This window comes from Homo sapiens, chromosome 10, assembly GCF_000001405.40.
Source record: "Homo sapiens chromosome 10, GRCh38.p14 Primary Assembly".
Taxonomy (NCBI): Eukaryota; Metazoa; Chordata; class Mammalia; order Primates; family Hominidae; genus Homo; species Homo sapiens.
In genome coordinates this window covers 115,566,709-115,587,607 of record NC_000010.11, presented here as the reverse complement: position 1 = coordinate 115,587,607, position 20,899 = coordinate 115,566,709, and the positions used below count along the sequence as shown (strand labels likewise).

At 36.0% G+C, this 20,899-nt stretch overlaps 1 protein-coding gene across 9 annotated transcripts in view, besides 1 other annotated feature; it reads right to left on the bottom strand.

Moving 5' to 3' along the window:
• ATRNL1 (attractin like 1) overlaps positions 1-20,899 on the bottom strand; it is an 855,635-nt gene that overhangs the window by 361,392 nt on the left and 473,344 nt on the right. The gene's annotated exons all lie outside the window — the stretch shown is intronic.
• Positions 208-708: an enhancer, noted in NCBI's record as "NANOG-H3K4me1 hESC enhancer chr10:117346410-117346910 (GRCh37/hg19 assembly coordinates)". NCBI's record gives its function as "activates a minimal SCP1, AML or CMV promoter by ChIP-STARR-seq in naive H9 embryonic stem cells {active_cell/tissue: H9 hESC(naive)}" and the evidence as "EXISTENCE:reporter gene assay evidence [ECO:0000049][PMID:30033119]".

Sequence of the window (20,899 nt, the reverse complement as noted above, 5' to 3'; positions counted from 1 at the left end):
GGCGAGGCATTGCCTCACTCGGGAAGCGCAAGGGGTCAGGGAGTTCCCTTTCCTAGTCGAAGAAAGGGGTGACAGATGGCACCTGGAAAATCGGGTCACTCCCACCTGAATACTGCGCTTTTCCGACGGGCTAAAACAACGGCACACCACGAGATTATATTCCGCACCTGGCTGGGAGGGTCCTATGCCCACGGAGTCTCACTGATTGCTAGCACAGCAGTCTGAGATCAAACTGCAAGGCGGCAGCGAGGCTGGGGGAGGGGCGCCCGCCATTGCCAAGGCTTGGTCAGGTAAACAAAGCAGCCAGGGAGCTCCAACTGAACTGGGTGGAGCCCACCACAGCTCAAGGAGGGCTGCCTGTCTCTGTAGGCTCCACCTCTGGGGGCAGGGCACAGACAAACAAAAAGACAGCAGTAACCTCTGCAGATTTAAATGTCCCTGTCTGACAGCTTTGAAGAGAGCAGTGGTTCTCCCAGTACGCAGCTGGAGATCTGAGAACGGGCAGACTGCCTCCTCAAGTGAATCCCTGACCCCTGACCCCCGAGCAGCCTAACTGGGAGGCACCCCCCAGTAGGGGCAGACTGACACCTCACACGGCCAGGTATTCCAACAGAGCTGCAGCTGAGGGTCCTGTCTGTTAGAAGGAAAACTAACAAACAGAAAGGACATCCACACCAAAAACCCATCTGTACATTACCATCATCATAGACCAAAAGTAGATAAAACCACAAAGATGCGGAAAAAACAGAGCAGAAAAACTGGAAACTCTAAAAAGCAGAGCGCCTCTCCTCCTCCAAAGGAATGCAGTTCCTCACCAGCAATGGAACAAAGCTGGACGGAGAATGACTTTGACGAGCTGAGAGAAGAAGGCTTCAGACGATCAAATTACTCTGAGATATGGGAGGACATTCAAACCAAAGGCAAAGAAGTTGAAAACTCTGAAAAAAATTTAGAAGAATGTATAACTAGAATAACCAATACAGAGAAGTGCTTAAAGGAGCTGATGGAGCTGAAAACCAAGGCTCGAGAACTACGTGAAGAATGCAGAAGCCTCAGGAGCCGATGCGAACAACTGGAAGAAAGGGTATCAGTGATGGAAGACGAAATGAATGAAATGAAGTGAGAAAGGAAGTTTAGAGAAAAAAGAATAAAAAGAAACGAACAAAGCCTCCAAGAAATATGGGACTATCTGAAAAGACCAAATCCACGTCTGATTGGTGTACCTGAAAGTGACGGGGAGAATGGAACCAAGTTGGAAAACACTCTGCAGGATATTATCCAGGAGAACTTCCCCAATCTAGCAAGGCAGGCCAACGTTCAGATTCAGGAAATACAGAGAACGCCACAAAGATACTCCTCGAGAAGAGCAACTCCAAGACACATAATTGTCAGATTCACCAAAGTTGAAATGAAGGAAAAAATGTTAAGGGCAGCCAGAGAGAAAGGTCGGGTTGCCCTCAAAGGGAAGCCCATCAGACTAACAGCGGATCTCTCGGCAGAAACTCTACAAGCCAGAAGATAGTGGGGGCCAATGTTCAACATTCTTAAAGAAAAGAATTTTCAACCCAGAATTTCATATCCAGCCAAACTAAGCTTCATAAGTGAAGGAGAAATAAAATACTTTACAGACAAGCAAATGCTGAGAGATTTTGTCACCACCAGGCCTGCCCTAAAAGAGCTCCTGAAGGAAGCGCTAAACATGGAAAGGAACAACCGGTACCAGCCGCTGCAAAATCATGCCAAAATGTAAAGACCATCGAGACTAGGAAGAAACTGCATCAACTAACCAGCAAAATAACCAGCTAATATCATAATGACAGGATCAAATTCACACCTAACAATATTAACTTTAAACGTAAATGGACTAAATCCTCCAATTAAAAGACACAGACTGGCAAACTGGATAAAGAGTCAAGACCCATCAGTGTGCTGTATTCAGGAAACCCATCTCACGTGCAGAGACACACATAGGCTCAAAATAAAAGGATGGAGGAAGGAAGATCTACCAAGCAAATGGAAAACAAAAAAAGACAGGGGTTGCAATCCTAGTCTCTGTTAAAACAGACTTTAAATCAACAAAGATCAAAAGAGACAAAGAAGGCCATTACATAATGGTAAAGGGATCAATTCAACAAGAAGAGCTAACTATCCTAAATATATATGCACCCAATACAGGAGCACGCAGATTCATAAAGCAAGTCCTGAGTGACCTACAAAGAGACTTAGACTCCCACACATTAATAATGGGAGACTTTAACACCCCACTGTCAATATTAGAAAGATCAACGAGACAGAAAGTCAACAAGGATACCCAGGAATTGAACTCAGCTCTGCACCAAGCAGACCTAATAGACATCTACAGAACTCTCCACCCCAAATCAACAGAATATACGTTTTTTTCAGCACCACACCACACCTATTCCAAAATTGACCACATACTTGGAAGTAAAGCTCTCCTCAGCAAATGTAAAAGAACAGAAATTATAACAAACTATCTCTCAGACCACAGTGCAATCAAACTAGAACTCAGGATTAAGAAACTCACTCAAAACCGCTCAACTACATGGAAACTGAACAACCTGCTCCTGAATGACTACTGGGTACATAACGAAATGAAGGCAGAAATAAAGATGTTTTTTGAAACCAACGAGAACAAAGACACAACATACCAGAATCTCTGGGACGCATTCAAAGCAGTGTGTAGAGGGAAATTTATAGCACTAAATGCCCACAAGAGGAAGCAGGAAAGATCCAAAATTGACACCCTAACATCACAATTAAAAGAACTAGAAAAGCAAGAGCAAACACATTCAAAACCTAGCAGAAGGCAAGAAATAACTAAAGTCAGAGCAAAACTGAAGGAAATAGAGACACAAAAAGCTTTCAAAAAATTAATGAATCCAGGAGCTGGTTTTTTGAAAGGATCAACAAAATTCATAGACAGCTAGCAAGACTAATAAAGAAAAAAAGAGAGAAGAATCAAATAGACGCAATAAAAAATGATAAAGGAGATATCACCACCGATCCCAGAGAAATACAAACTACCATCAGAGAATACTACAAACACCTCTATGCAAATAAACTAGAAAATCTAGAAGAAATGGATAAATTCCTCGATACATACACTCTCCCAAGACTAAACCAAGAAGAAGTTGAATCTCTGAATAGACCAATAACACCATCTGAAATTGTGGCAATAATCAATAGCTTACCAACCAAAAAGAGTCTAGGACCAGATGGATTCACAGCCGAATTCTACCAGAGGTACAAGGAGGAACTGGTACCATTCCTTCTGAAACTATTCCAATCAATAGAAAAAGAGGGAATCCTCCCTAACTCGTTATGAGGCCAGCATCATCCTGATACCAAAGCCGGGCAGAGACACAACCAAAAAAGAGAATTTTAGACCAATATCCTTGATGAACATTGATGCAAAAATCCTCAATAAAATACTGGCAAACCGAATCCAGCAGCACATCAAAAAGCTTATCCACCATGATCGAGTGGGCTTCATACCTGGGATGCAAGGCTGGTTGAATACACGCAAATCAATAAATGTAATCCAGCATATAAACAGAACCAAAGACAAAAACCACATGACTATCTCAATAGAAGCAGCAAAGGCCTTTGACAAAATTCAACAATGCTTCATGCTAAAAACTCTCAATAAATTAGGTATTGATGGGACGTATCTCAAAATAATAAGAGCTGTCTATGACAAACCCACAGCCAATATCATACTGAATGGGCAAAAACTGGAAGCATTCCCTTTGAAAACTGGCACAAGACAGGGATGCCCTCTCTCACCACTCCTATTCAACATAGTGTTGGAAGTTCTGGCCAGGGCAATTAGACAGGAGAAGGAAATAAAGGGTATTCAATTAGGAAAAGAGGAAGTCAAATTGTCCCCGTTTGCAGATGACATGATTGTATATCTAGAAAACCCCATTGTCTCAGCCCAAAATCTCCTTAAACTGATAAGCAACTTCAGCGAAGTTTCAGGATACAAAATCAATGTACAAAAATCACAAGCATTCTTATACATCAACAACAGACAAACAGAAAGCCAAATCATGAGTGAACTCCCATTCACAATTGCTTCAAAGAGAATAAAATACCCAGGAATCCAACTTACAAGGGATGTGACGGATCTCTTCAAGGAGAACTACAAACCACTGCTCAAGGAAATAAAAGAGGATACAAACAAATGGAAGAACATTCCATGCTCATGGGTAGGAAGAATCAATATCGTGAAAATGGCCATACTGCCCAAGGTAATTTACAGATAGATTCAATGCCATCCCCATCAAGCTACCAATGACTTTCTTCACAGAATTGGAAAAAACTACCTTAAAGTTCATATGGAACCAAAAAAGAGCCCGCATCGCCAAGTCAATCCTAAGCCAAAAGAACAAAGCTGGAGGCATCACACTACCTGACTTCAAACTATACTACCAGGATACAGTAACCAAAACAGCATGGTACTGGTACCAAAACAGAGATATAGATCAATGGAACAGAACAGAGCCCTCAGAAATAATGCCACATATGTACAACTATCTGATCTTTGACAAACCTGAGAAAAACGAGCAATGGGGAAAGGATTCCCTATTTAATAAATGGTGCTGGGAAAACTGGCTAGCCATATGTAGAAAGCTGAAACTGGATCCCTTCCTTACACCTTATACAAAAATCAATTCAAGATGGATTAAAGACTTAAACGTTAGACCTAAAACCATAAAAACTCTAGAAGAAAACCTAGGCTTTACCATTCAGGACATAGGCATGGGCAAGGACTTCATGTCTAAAACACCAAAAGCAATGGCAACAAAAGCCAAAATTGACAAATGGGATCTAATTAAACTCAAGAGCTTCTGCACAGCAAAAGAAACTACCATCAGAGTGAACAGGCAGCCTACAAAATGGGAGAAAATTTTCACAACCTACTCATCTGACAAAGGGCTAATATCCAGAATCTACAATGAACTCAAACAAATTTACAAGAAAAAAACAAACAAACCCATCAAAAAGTGGGCGAAGGACATGAAGAGACACTTCTCAAAAGAAGACATTTATGCAGCCAAAAAACACATGAAAAAATGCTCACCATCACTGGCCATCAGAGAAATGCAAATCAAAACCACAATGAGATACCATCTCACACCAGTTAGAATGGCAATCATTAAAAAGTCAGGAAACAACAGGTGCTGGAGAGGATGTGGAGAAATAGGAACACTTTTACACTGTTGGTGGGACTGTAAACTAGTTCAACCATTGTGGAAGTCAGTGTGGCGATTCCTCAGGGATCTAGAACTAGAAATACCATTTGACCCAGTCATCCCATTACTGGGTATATACCCAAAGGACTATAAATCATGCTGCTATAAAGACACGTGCACACGTATGTTTACTGCGGCACTATTTACAATAGCAAAGACTTGGAACCAACCCAAATGCCCAACAATGATAGACTGGATTAAGAAAATGTGGCACACATACACCATGGAATACTATGCAGCCATAAAAAATGATGAGTTCATGTCCTTTGTAGGGATATGGATGAAATTGGAAATCATCATTCTCAGTAAACTATCGCAAGAACAAAAAACCAAACACCGCATATTCTCACTCATAGGTGGGAATTGAACAATGAGATCACATGGACACAGGAAGGGGAACATCACACTCTGGGGCCTGTTGTGGGGTGGGGGGAGGGGGGAGGGATAGCAATGGGAGGTATACCTAATGCTAGATGACGAGTTAGTGGGTGCAGTGCACCAGCATGGCACATGTATACATATGTAACTAACCTGCACATTGTGCACATGTACCCTAAAACTTAAAGTATAATAAAAAAAAAAGTTTAGTGTCGATGGTTTCTTTACATATCTTCCGAACTTTGTAAGAATGGAAGACCTGTTTACCTTGGATCAATCTCTCTCCTGACTTATATCTGATTATTATCCACTACTTTAGCTATATCTTTTTACAATAGTTTGAAATTATTATACATATGCACATATATATTTTAATTTACATATATCAAACTAGACTTTTAATATTTAATTTTTACATTTCTATGAGTTTTAATGCATGTGATTTTTGAATGGGTGCACTTCCAATAACTATGCATCTAGATCAGAGTGTGTAGTTCAAATGAGAGTGCAGGAATTTCCCACAGATCCTCTTCCTGGCTTAGTGCAGATTGAGTAAGAGGTAAACTCCCATCCTCAGCTTCTCCCTGACAATACATATCTAACATGCCAAATTTTCCAGATGCATCTCAAGGGACTGGCTTCTATCTTGTCTGTCTTGGGGCACTGACAAAACTTGGCACATACTAATTGGGGATCACTGAAAAAAAAGAGATTAAGATAAGCATAAAAGTTGGGGCACCTAGAATCTCTTGCTGAATTGATTAGTGAGGTACATTTCTTAAAAGACACTAGTCTGATAACACAGGGAGAGACAGTTGTCTTACAGACTGTGCAGAAACCAACACAGAGTGTCAATAAAAGTCAGGAAACAAAGAAATATGCTCCGAATAAAAAACCAAGATAAATCTCCAGAAACCAGCCTTAGTGAAATAAAGCTGTGTGATTTACCCAAGAGAAAATTCAAAGAAACAGTCATATGGGTGTTCACACCACGGTCAGGGAAACAATGCATGACAAGCTGAGAATTTCAACAAAATGATAGAAAATATTAAAATGCATCAAACAGAAATCATAGAGTTGAAGATTACAATGACTGAATTGAAAAAATCAATAGAGGACTCTATTGATCAGCAAAACTGAAGACAGGTCATTAGAAATTAATCTAAGTAGAAAAAATAATGAAAAAGACTGAAGACAGCTTTATGGGACTTATGGGTAACAATTACATACATTATAGGAGGATGAGAAAGAGAAAAAAAAGAAAAAGGGACAAAAAGAGTATTTAAAGAAATAATGGCTGAACACTTTCCAAACCTGGGAAAGAAAACAGAAATCCAGATTCAGCAAACCTCAGGTACATCAAATAATATGAATCCAAAGAGTTCCACACTGAAACACATTGTAATTGATTTGACAAAAGTTAAAGACCGAGAGAATTTTGAAAGCAGTGAGAAAAAAAGGCTTGTTACTCAGGAAATGCCATCAGACTATCAGTTGATTTTTCAGTAGAAACATTACAGGCCAGAAGGGGGCAGAAAAATATATTCAAAATGCTAAAAGAAACAAATTGCCATCTATACCCAGCAAACCAGCCTTTCAAAAACAAAGGGAAGATAAAGACTTCTACAGACATACAAAAGCTGAGGAAGTTTATCACCACTAGACATTTCTTATGAGAAATGCTGTAGGAAGTCACTGAAGTTGAAACAGCAGGATGCCAAACAGCAACATGAATGAACACCAAGTATGAAACTCATTAGCAAAGGTAAACATATAGGAACAGAAAGAATATTGTATTACTGTAAGAGTGGTAGATAGATACATGGTAATTTGCTATAAAAGGTAAAAGAGAAAAGTTTCAAATACAACTATAACTAAATTGTGTGAATGGTTCTGCAATATAAGAAGTTGTAAATTGTGACATCAGCAGTGTATAATGTGAGGAGAGGAAAGGTAAAAGCAGTGAATTCTGGCATGCAAGTGAAGTTAAGCTGTTATCAGCTAAGCAGAGACTGTTATAACTATTAGATATTTAAGCCCCTTGATAACCACAAAGAAAATACCTATACAAGTTACACAAAAGAAAAAGGAACAGCAATTAAAATCTAGCAATACAAACAATAAAAAAGAGGCAGGAAGCAAGAAAAAGAGGAACAAAAGAACCACAACACAAAAAGAAAACAGTTAACAAAATGGCAATAGTAACTCATTCTTTGTTAATTATCACTTTAAATATAAATGGTTTAAGCTACCCAATAAAAAGATATAGGCTGGCTAAATGAATTTTAAAAATCCAAGATTCAACTATATTCATCTATAAGATACTCACTTTTGATTCAAGAACACACATTGGCTGAAAGTGAAGGGATGGAAAAAGACATTTCATGCAAATGGAAACCAAAAGAAAGCAGGGAAGCTAAGCTAATATCTGACAATAGGTTCTAAGTCACAAACTGTAACAAGTGACAAAGAAGGTCAACGATAATCACAGAAAGTCAATATAATTTTAGAAGGTCAACATAATGAGAAAGAGATTATTCTATCAAGACGACATAATAATTATACATATATATGCATCTTAGATCAGAGAATATAAACATATAAAGCAAACATTAACAACTAAAGAGAGAAATAGACAGCAATAATGATAGAGAACTTTGATACTACACTTTCAATAATGGATAGATCATCCAGATGAAAATTCAATAAAGGAACATTAAATTTAAGCTGTACCTTAGACCTAATCAACATATATAGAACATTCTATTCAACAGTAATAGAATACACATTCCTCTTAAGTGCACATGTAATAGTCTCTAGGATAGATCACGTTAGACCACAAAACAATTCTTAACAAATTTAAGAAGATCAAAATCATATCAAGAATCTTTTCTGACAACAATGGTATGAAAATAGAAATCAATAAGAGTAGAAAAATGGGAAAGTTCACAAATATGTGAAAATGAAACCAAATGCTTTGGAAATGAGATCAAGAAAAAAATCAAAAACTATCTTGAGAGAAATGAAAATGGAAATACAACGTAAGAAAACTTATAGGATGCAGCAAAAGCAATCTAACAAGAAAGCTTAAAGTGAAAAATGTCTACATTAAAACAGAAGAAAGATCTCAAACAACATACCTCACCTCAAGAAACTAGAAAAAGAACAAACTGAATCAAAAATTAGCAGAATGAAGAAACTAATAAAGACCAGCATAGGAATCAAACAGAAAAGAGAAAAACTATAGGAAATATTAACAAAACTAAAATTTTTTTGAAAATATAAACAAAACCAATAAACCCTTAGCTAGAAGAAGAAAGAGAGAAGATGACATTAAAATTAGATATGAAAGAGGAAACATTATAAGGGATACCTCAGAAATAAAAAAGGATCATAAAGAATATTATGAACAATTACATGCCAAGAAATTGGATAATCTAGAGGAAATAAATTCCTGGAAACATGCAACATATAAAGACTGAACAGAGAAGAAATAGCCTGAAAAGACCAATGACAGAAAAAGTGATTGAAGTGGTAATCAAAATCCTCCTAACAGCAACAAAAGCCTAGGATCAGATGAATTTACAGCAGAATTCTGCAAATTATTAAAAGAAGAATTAATATCCGTAATTCTTAAACACCTCCAAAAAATGAAAATAGAGGGAATACTTCCAAACTCATCTTATGAAGCTAGTATCACCCTGACATCAAAGCTGACAGAGACATCACGAGAAAAGAAAACTATGGGCCAATATTGCTGCTAAACATACATGCAAACATCTTCAACAAAAAACTCGCAAACTAAATACAACAACACAACAAAAAGATTATTCACCATGACTAAGTGAAATTTATTCTTGGGAAGCAAGTTTGCTTTAACATACACAAATCAATATATGTGACACAACACATTAAAAGGATGAAAGATAAAAACCACAGGATCAAGTCAAAGATACAGTAAAAGCATTTGACAAAGTTCAGTATCTGTTCATGATTTTTTTTAATATTAAAGAAACAGGTACAGAAGGAAATTTCTTGAACATAATAAAGGTCATTTATGAAAAGCCCAAAACCAATATCATAATCAATGGGAAAAAACTGAAAGCTTTGCCTCTAATATATGGTACAATGTAAGGATTTCTACTCTCTCTGCTTCTGTTAAACATAGTACTGATAGTACTAGCAGGAGCAATCAGACAAGAAAAAGAAATTAAAGGTATCAAAATTGAAAAGGAAGAATAAAATTATAACTGCTTATAGACTGAATGATTATACATGTAAAATACCCTATAAGGCTACACACACACACACACACACACACACACACACACACACACACAACCTGTTAGAACAAATAAATTCAGTAAAGTAGTAGGGTACAAAATCAACATGGTAAGATCAGTTGCATTTCTTTGTATCAACAATGGTCTATTAGATACACAATTAAGAAAACATTCCATTTATATTGTCATCAAAAAGAATAAACTACTGAGGAATAAATTTAACCAAGAAAGTAAAATATCTGAGCAATAAAAACTATAAAATATTGATTAAAGAAACTGAAGAAGGCACAAATAAATGGAAAGTTCTGTGTTAATGGATTGAAGAATTAATACTGTCAAACTATCCATACTACCCAAAGAGCTCTGCAGATTCAACATAATCCCTATTAAAATTCCAAAGATATTTTTCATAGAAATAGAAAAAACAATATTAAAATTTGAATAGAACCACAAGACTCTAAATAGCCACAACAATCTTCAGAAAGAAAAACAAAGTTGGAAACATATCACTTTCTGATTTCAAATTATATTACAAAACCAGAGTAATTAAATATTATGATACTGGCATTAAAACACATAGACCAATAGAACCGAAAAGAGAGCTTCAGAAATAAACTCAAGCACATATAGTAAGTTATTTTCCACAAGGCCACCAAGAGGACACAATAGGGAATGGATAGTCTCTTCCATAAATGGTGGTGGGAAAACTGAATGTCAACATGAAAAGAAATGAAAATGCCCATTATCTTACACCATTCACAAAGATCAACTTAAAATGAATTAAAGACCTAAACACAAGACCTCAAACTGAAAAACTCTTAGATGAAAATATAAGGAAAAGCTCTCTGATATAAACCTGGGAAATAATTTTTTTGGGTATCACAGCAAAAGCTCAGGCAACAAAACCAAAATTAAGAAATGAGACTATATCATATTAAGTTACTTCCGCATAGCAAAATAAACAATCAACAAAAGAAAAGGGCAGTTAATGGATTGGGAGAAAACGTTTGCAAACCATGTACGTGTAAGGGGTTCATATCCAAAACATGTAAGAGATTCATACAGCTCAATAGTAAAATAGCAAATAACCTAATTTTAAAAAGGGGAAAGAATGTAAATAGACATTTCTCCAAATAAGACATACAAATGGCTAACGGATATATGGAAAAGTGCTCAACAACACTAATCATCAGGGAAATGCAAATCAAAACCATAATGAGATATCACCTGACACATGTTATGATGGCTATTACAAAAAAGAGATAAAAAATGTTGGCAAAGATTTGGAGAAAAGTGAACCCTGTACACTATTAATTGAAACATAAATTGGCATGGCTATTATTGAAAACAGTATTGAGATTCCTCAAAAAATGAAAAAAAGAATTATCCTATGGCTCAGAAATCTCTCTGCTTTGTATACGTACATCCAAAGGAAACGAAATCAGCACATCACAGAGCTAGCTGTGATCCATGTTCACTGCAGCATTATCCACAATAGCCAGGATATGGAAACAACTCAGGTGTCCATCAACGCATGAATGGATAAAGAAATTGTGGTGTATATACCATGGAATATATTTACTCTTAAAAAAAGAGATACTGGCATTTGTGGCAACATAGATGAGCCAGGAGGATATTATGCTGTGTGAAATGAACCAGACACAAAGAAAAGTACTGCATGATCTCATCTATATGTGATACCTAAAACAAGTTCAAATACATACAAATAGGGAGAATAACAGTGGTTTTCAAGGGCAGAGAGGCAGAGCAAAAGGAGAGATATTCATCAAAGTACAAACTTGAAGTTAGGTAGGATGACTAATTATAGAGATCTGATGTATAGCAGAAGGATATAGCTAAAAATACTGTATTGTATATTGAAAATTTGCTAAGAGAGTAGATTTCAGGTGCTCTTACCACAAAAAAAGGTAAGAGCTTACTTATAATAATCATTTCACTATGTATATGTATATCAAAACATTATCTTGCACACCTTAAACACATGCAATGAAAAATAAATAAAAAATAAAAAAGAATATTTGCAAAAATGCAATTGTGGCAAGTAGGTGACATTAGCATGCAGAAAGAAAAAGGTTTCTAACACTTGGAAAACACTAACAGGAACGGCAAATGACTACGTGATGAACAATGAAATGAAAGTAAAACACATTATAAAACATGTTGAAAAACACTCCAGATGTCAACAACACTAAAATTTCAGACATTCAGATAATAAATGCAAGAAAGTATACAGAGTTTACTTCTCAACTTAATCCTAGTTAGGGCAGAGTTCTGACACTATTCTCTGCTTCATTGCAAATGAACATGAACATTCTTTAATGCAATGCATTCTGTTTTAAAGGTTTTACTACACACATAATTGCTCAAATCTCAGTTCAAGCTTAGTAAACAAAATGACTTGAAAGTCGATGGTCCATTAACAACACATATTTTCTAAAACTCAACATTAAGTGGTAAAAGATGAATATATATCACATGCTCTACTTAAATCATTTTTAAAATCTGATATTTTAAAATAATATATTTTATAAATTCTTGGGATAAACAGTGTTTAAGCACTTTCCACTATAACAATGAGTTTAAAAGGTGCAAGGAAAAAGCAACAATGTTTACTAAGATTCTATTTTAAAATATCTATAAGTTTAGTTACATCATATTATTCACATTAAGAGTCAGACCTAAAATGCAATAACCTGTTTTGAAATATTATCTCAACCAATTTCCACAAGTTATAGCCATTTCCAAATGATTTACATTTGTCTATTAGCAATTTTGTTTAAGAGATGTTTCTAATATTTTACAAAGAAAATAGGCTATGTTTAAAATTAAAAAGGCAGACAGATGGAAAGTCTTGTGCCAGCACCCTATGTGTAGGAAATTGGTAGTCAATAACAGGGCTGAGCAAACCTTAACTGGCTTTGGTATCAGCAATGGCCAGAGAATTTCTAGGGCTCCTGAAATCAGCATGCAGAAATCAACTAAGGAGCATCTGGTGCCCAAGTAACATAGGATTTAAATGTGATTGAGATTGAAGTAGATGGTAACACATTTAGCAAGGAATTTCAGCCAAATATTCAGTACAAGTTGCAGAAAATATAAAAGATTAAGATACATGGTAGATTTGATATTAAATATTTTTGATAATGATATACTAGTTACTGTCTTTTGATATAAGTTCCTAAAAACAAGTGAAGTAAATTTGAAGGAATTAGTTTTAGTGGAATAGCATTGGCAACTATAGGCTTTTTTCTCAAAGAGTTTCATTCATGCTTCATGTGTGTATATATATATACATTTATATATATGTAGTTTTATATATACAAAACTACTTGTACATATGTAGATATATATATCTGCATAGTTATAGATATATACATGTACATATGTAGTTATGTATATATAACTGTAGTTATATATATTGCTGTAGTTATATTTGTATATATAGATACACATATATATGTATTATATATACAATTATATATAATGGCTGTACTTATACATATAAAACTGCAGCTGTAGTTTGCTAGTTTGCTTTTTATCGTAAGTAAGACAAACAGAATCATGATTTTGCAAGAAATAATTGAGATAACTACTTCCCAAAGAATTTTCTGCTTTAAGTGGTTTACAGAAGTTTAGATTACCCATTTCTTTCCTGTCTGTCACAGGTTCTCCTACAATCGGACACAGAAGTATCTTTTCAGCTTTGTCTTTCAACTCTTTTCTTAATTACATACCTGGCATTTGATTATTCAGTATTTTGAAAGCAATGGTACTGTCATAACTGCTAGTATTTTCCAAGGACCTTCTCTGTGCCCATACTGACTTTTAATAACATCCTAACCAATTTATCTATCAAGCAAAGGGCTACATATTCTTGATAGCTCAAATGGCACCTATTTGGTGAAGGCTATTCTAACCATCTGCCTTCACCTGGTATTGGAATTTAACACTTTGTGTTACCTATTTATCTTGCTCACTGAGTTGTAACATTCCCAAGGACACTGAGACTTCTGCTCTGAAAATAACACAGACAGGAGACAGGGAAATACTGGGTAGAAGAGGGCGGTTCCCCGGCAAAGACCCCACCCTCAAGCCTGGATACCTGTGGCCCTAAATGAGAACAGGTATTTCTGTTTTTGTGCCCCAAAGCTGCCTTTTGGCCTGCCACACTCCCTATCCTACCCCCAGCCATGCCCCCATCCTGCCCCCATGTAAACCCTGAACCCCAAGCTCCAGAGCAGACCAGCAAGTGAGGACATTGATGAGGAGGCAAGCAGACAGACAATGGAACAATGTAGGGGAGAAAGAGAGAAGAAGAGGGACATCTGAACACTGAGAAGAATTTGGCTGGGGGAAGTCAGGAAAGAGTCCGGCCACTAGGTGGCCCAACTCCAGACGAAGATCACCTTCCCACTCCATCCCTGCTTCCGGCTCCCCATCCGTATCACTGAGAGCCACCTCTACCACTCAATAAAACCTTGCACTCACCCTTTGAGCCCACATGTGATCCAATTCTTCCAAGATGCCTGGCAAGAGCTTAGGATACAGAAATCTGTCACACTGGTTCTTTACCCTTGCAATAAGGCAGAAGGTCCATTAAACTGATTAACACTCAAGCCTTCTGCGGAAGGCAAAGCTGAAAGAGCTTTGCAAAACTGGGGTTGCAGACACTCACCCCTAGACACTACAGTGGAGTTGGAGCCCAAAGCGCTCACCTGGCCTCTGCATCTGCCCGTCTGCATGCTCCCCCTCCCTCAAGCAGTTTGAGCTGCAGGGCAACCAAACAGGCAAGCCACACCCCAATCATATGTCCTGCAAGGGGAATCAGGGAACTCTCCCATTTCAAAAACAACCCCTGACAAACAGTATTTAACATTAATCAAGACTTGGATCTTGAATATAAATTTTATGGTATTAATTAGGAAACTTATAGATTCAGCCCAGAACTCTCTCTGGAATCCCAGACCTCTCTCTGGAATCTCAGACTTGTATATCCAAATGTCTTTATGTCCAACTGCTATGTGAACCTTCCCCTCTTGAATCTCTTTTAGGCATTGCAAACTTTACCTCAAGTGATGCTCTTGACTGCTGTCTAACTTCCCTCACATTTTTGTCTCTCCCAGTTCTTATGGTTTAGGTTAAGGTACCACCATGTACCTAGTTTTTGAAGGTAAAACCCTAGATTGTAGAGTGAGAATTAGTCTTTTTTTTTCCCCACCCGTTGCATCCAATCTATCAGCAGTGACAATATATTTGACCTCAAAAACAAATCCTAAATTTTCCTCTGTCTCTCCACCTCTATTACCACCTATGTAGTCCAAACAACTATTTTCTCTTATACCCTGGGCTCCAAATTGTTCTCCCTACCTCTTCCCTTGTTCCCCTATAATCCATTCTCCATACTGTAGCCAGAGCTATGACTTTCTTTTAACATTTTTACTGCAATACTATATATATAGTAAAATTTACTGTAATGTACAATTAAATGAATTGTAATATATTTAGAGTAATATAACTGTCATTACACAATCTAATTTTAGAACATTTCCATCACCCCCAAAACCAAACTTCTGTCCATTTGCAATAATTCTTCATTCCAACATCCATCTCTAGGTAGTCTCTTTATATTTCCCTTTTTCTTCACATTTCATATAAACATCATACAATACATGGCTTTTTCTATGTGTGTATATAAACTTGAAAGAGAATATACAAAACCTACTTAAGGAAAACATTTTTAAATTCCCTAAAGACACAAAAGTAGAACAGACGGTAAGACACAGAAATATGTCTTATATGAATAGGAATATTTTATAATTTTATAAATAACATTTATAATAGAAATATTAGTTTATTAGGAATAGTAATAGGAATATATGAATATGAATTAGAAGGTTCAATATCATAAAGGTAATAGCTGCAAATTAATTTATAATTTTAACTCTAACAATAAATATACCAAGCTATTTTCTCCAGAAAGTCACAAACCCTTTATAAAATCTATTTAGCAAAATAGTTATAGCAAAATAATACATAACAAAATTACACAAGCAAAAAATGAGAAGCAGCCAGCCTACTAGAGAGAAAATACATTGGAAGGTCTCAATACTTACAACAATGTAGTAGTAGTGTCTGGATGGGTAATTCAACAGAAGCTAACAGAAAGCCCAAAAGTATATGGGAATATAACATGCAGTAATAACAGCATCTCAAAATATGGGGGTAAAGAATGTATTAATAGATAGTGTTGGAATGACCTAACAGCTATCTGGAAAACGGTAAGTTGAAGCAAATATTTAAATGTGTGGCAGATCAAAGATAGAAATTCTTCATCACTCCTTCCTTCCATGAAAAAGCAGGACAATCCATTTTTCCACACGTTTATGTCTGACCTGGTCCTATACTGATTTTGCCAATATAATACAGGTGCAGGTGACACTGTGGAAATTATAGGTCTAGTCTATAAAAGGACTAGAAGCTGCCTCCTATTAAAACAATTGCCATGGTATAAGAAAAGCCAGCGGCTATATGGATAGGCCCATATGGAGGAAAATTGAGGTCCTTAGCCAACAGCCTGTGCTGAACTCTTAGTTAATGGGGGTGGAAGATTCTCCATCCCCAGTGAAGCTGGCCCAGCCGGTGCCATGTTGGGGAGAGATAAGCTATCCCAGCTGAGCTCTGCTCAAATTATGAATAAACCCTATGCTTGGGTTGCTCGGGATGTCTGAAATCAACTGAAGGCTCAAATGAGAGCTCACGTGGAGTCCTAACTGAGGGCTCAGTTGAGGTCACTCTCTAGCAGTGTCAGCTCTCTGGATATAGGCCTCTCCCTGAGGATGCCTTTATACATGATAGCTAGATTCCAAAAAGGAGCATCTCATTAGTAAGCTCCAAAGAGGGAAGAAAAACAACTGTCAGTATAATTAAGGGCTAAACATAAAACTACCAACACATCACTCCAACCACAGTTGACTGGTCAAAGCATTCATAGCCCCCATCTACAGTCAATACAGAGAGTACAGATGGGCATGAAAATCTGGATACTGAGGTCACTGGGGGGTGACCAAGCTAATAGTATACACAAAATGTAAAAATGAAGCCATAACTGGGTAAACTCCTTTGTAAACTTGAAGTAAGCTGAGTCTTTCTACCTATGACTCAAATTCCAGAAACCATAAAAGAAGTTTACAAAATTTGAAATCAAGCATAAATATATCTTCATGTTTGCTATGGTCAGAAAGTTTGTAAACTTCAAAATTTCATATGCTGAAATCTTAACCCCCAGGGTGATGGTGTTGGGAGGTGGGGTCTTTGGGGAGGTGTTTAGATTATGAGGGCAGAGCCCTCATGATTGGAATTAGTGCTTTAATAAAAGAGATGGCAGAGGCCAGGTGTGGTGGCTCATAGCTGAAATCCCAGCACTTTGGGAAGCCACGGCTGGTGGAGCACAAGGTCAGGAGTTTGAGATCAGCCTGGCCAACATGGCAAAACCCCATCTCTACTAAAAAAATACAAAAATTAGCTGGGCATGGTGGTGTGCACCTGTAATCCCAGCTACTCAGGAGGCTGAGGCAGAAGAATTGCTTGAACATGGGAGGCAGAGGTTGCAGTGAGCTGAGATCGCACCACTGCACTCCAGCAGAAAGCTAGCTAGCTCCTTTCACCATGTGAAGATACAGCTGTATGGTGCCATCTATGAATCAGGAAATAGCCCCTCGCCAGACACCAAATCTGCTGATGCCTAGATCTTAGACGTCCCAGCCTCCAGAGCTGTATGAGATATACTTCTGTTTCTTATAAGCCACCCAGTTTATGGTATTTTGTTACAGCAGCTTTAACAGAGTAATACATTGTTAAAAAAAAAAAAAAAGTATTTAAAGAATTAAATGGTAAACAGAGAAAAAATATTTTCAACTCATACCAGAGACAAACAGTTATCCTACTCAAGGTTAAAGAGCTTCTAGAAATAAAGAATAAAAAGATTAACAATCTAATTGAAAAATGAGTAAAGGACATGAATAGTTTGCAGAAAAAGAAAATACCACCCTTGAACACTGGATAATATTTTTGGCTTTGCTTTTCTTCAAGATGTGCAAATCAGAACCACTTTAAAACATCATTTCCCACTTAGCAGGTAGCAAAAATCCAAAGTTTGACAAAACACTCTTCATGCAGTTGGTAGGAAAATAATGTGGTAAAACCCTACAGAGGGTAATCTGCTCATAGCTATAAAAATTACAAATATAATTTCCATTAAGCAAGCAATCCCATTTGGAATTTATCCTATAATTATACCTGCACACATACAAAATGAACAATGTACAAAGTTCATAACAATGAAAAAGAAAAACATCAAGAGTCTGTTTATAGGGACTAAATAAGTTAGGGTATAATCATACTACAAAATAGAATGCATTTATAATAAAAGAAACAAAAGAGGTTGGCAATGGAAAGATATCCAAGTTATATTGATAAGTGACAAGAGTAATATGTAGTAGAGGGTACATACCATATTTCTTCAACTCTAACAGATGAGGTTTTTCACATTCTAATATTTCTAACATTGCAATGTTCTTTATAATCAATGCTGTCACCCTTTAATTGCCAAGATTTTTTCTTTCTTGGTGGTACACAAAAATGTTGTGCAAATTGTCTGAACTCAGGTTTAACGAAATACAGAAATATATTATTTTTGTATAATAAAGGAGGGATACATGTTTACACATTTGCATATGTTGATATTGGAATATGCAACATCCTGATAAAGGAAACCTGGAAGGATAGATAATAAACAAGTGTTTATCTATGAAGGCAGGGAGGGAAAGTGTGGACTAGGTTATAGATAAATGTGAAACTTTTTAATTTATAACTTTTTATTTTTTCCTAAATTTGAATTATGTTAATATATTACTTATTTTAAAAATTAAATTAAATTGAAATAAAACCTAACACTCCAAAATCAAATTTCGTTTTTAAAAATCTAGTATAGAAGAACCTACATTTGTTTTTTATGCACTACCTCACATTCTTGCTAAGACAAAAGCTGAATTTTTTCCAAGCATTAAGAACTTGCTGAGAGCTTTATATTTAGAATCTAAATTCTGGCAAAGACATTTAAGATAATATCCAGTTCATGTAGACATGAATATATATGCTTTATGATCAATATTACCTGAAAATATCACTACCAAAGTGATGTTGCTGGCTTTAAAATCTTTAATAAAGCAAAAAGAACATAGCTTTAGTAATTGGGCATCCTCTTTTCAATGGATATACTTAAATTGTTTAGCATTCCTGTATTCAGATAATTAAATTAACTTTAAATATTAAATTTTTAACATAAAAAAGATGAAACCAATTATAATTTATTCTGTATCTTGTGAATTTCAATATTGAGTAAGGACTTCTCTTTTTCCTCTAGCTGAAATAACACATATCACTATGATTTAATAGCCTGAACAAAAGAGCACTGGCCACTTACTATGTATGACAATAGCTTCTGCCAGGCATGATTCTACGTACCTACATTCATAAAACGTTATTCCACTGTTACCATTAACTGTCAGCTTTCAGCATCAAAGTCACCTTCATTTGAAATCCAACAAACATTTATATTAAGAAAAAATAAGTAATTCTAAGCACAATAATTAGACGTATTAAGTAGAATAACAACTAGATAAAGGATGACAGTACTCAGGCTACCACCAAATATTTCACTCATCAGGTAGCAAAACTATACAGGTTTTATAAAGGTTAAACAAAAAGAGATCATAGACATTGTGACTGTTACTTATTATGCATTATTCTCCTTGCCAAGATTTTTTGGAGAATGTATTTGGTTTTCACCATTCTCATTAAACTAACTGCTATTAAAATACCTCCTAGTTGTTCACTAATGAGCAGGTAATTCACTAATTAGGAAACATTCAAAATAAGTACATTTTAACAAAATTTAAAAAAAGTTCCTGCATTATTCTAAAATTACAAATCAACATAGAATTTGAATCAGTATATGATTAAAATTTTGGAGTAAAAGACTAAAACTATCAACAAAGACAGCAAAAGTGAAATGAATCTTAACAATTCTTCATCTTTTAATAGGTTGCTAGCATGCATGCCATCCCTGGCTAAATCATGTGATATGTACTTTTAATTGATATAAATTTCTGCATAAAATAGATCTGCAAAATTAAATGGAAAAGTTTTCATTAGGCAAACTCTAATTTTGAATTAATCTTCAGGACAAAATGAGATATGTTTTCATTTAGAAAAACTTATCCCAATACACATCAAAGAGTAATTAAAACACAGTAGTTCACTTTACCACACATATTAAAGGAAAAGAAGGACAGCAGTCTAAAAAAGCATTATCTTTAATTTGTAAAATATTAACGTCACTAAACTGTGATTTAATACATTAAGATTCTAGATAATAATCACCTAGCTACATACCATTTCACAGCTACCATAAGATTCTACACTCAATCTTCACTATAAAATTAAGAAATGTTCAGTTTGAAAACTAAATGCAACAGTTGTTTACCCAGTATTGGGTCCTTGCTAAACAATGTTTGTTAAGCAAACAGGAGGCTCTTGACAAATACTCATTGTTTGTCCTGGCTGGACAAACAGGTATATCATTTACCATGCCTTCCACAAAACTGAATTTCGGTTGTTAGTAATTGGAATATGATTCATCAATAAGTATGCCATTAAGTGATTATAAATGTGTTGATACTCATTGTTTTGAGCAGCCTCCTGGGGTGCATGTGAAAGCCCCTGGGCAGAATAACTACAGCCACAATTAGCCTCCTTTACTAACCTTAGTGTATCTTGCAAACATTAATGTGTAACTTAATGTGAAACTGTCTAGGTATCATAATACAGTCATAATTGCATTATTTCTAAATATAGTATATGTAAAAAAATCCAATAATC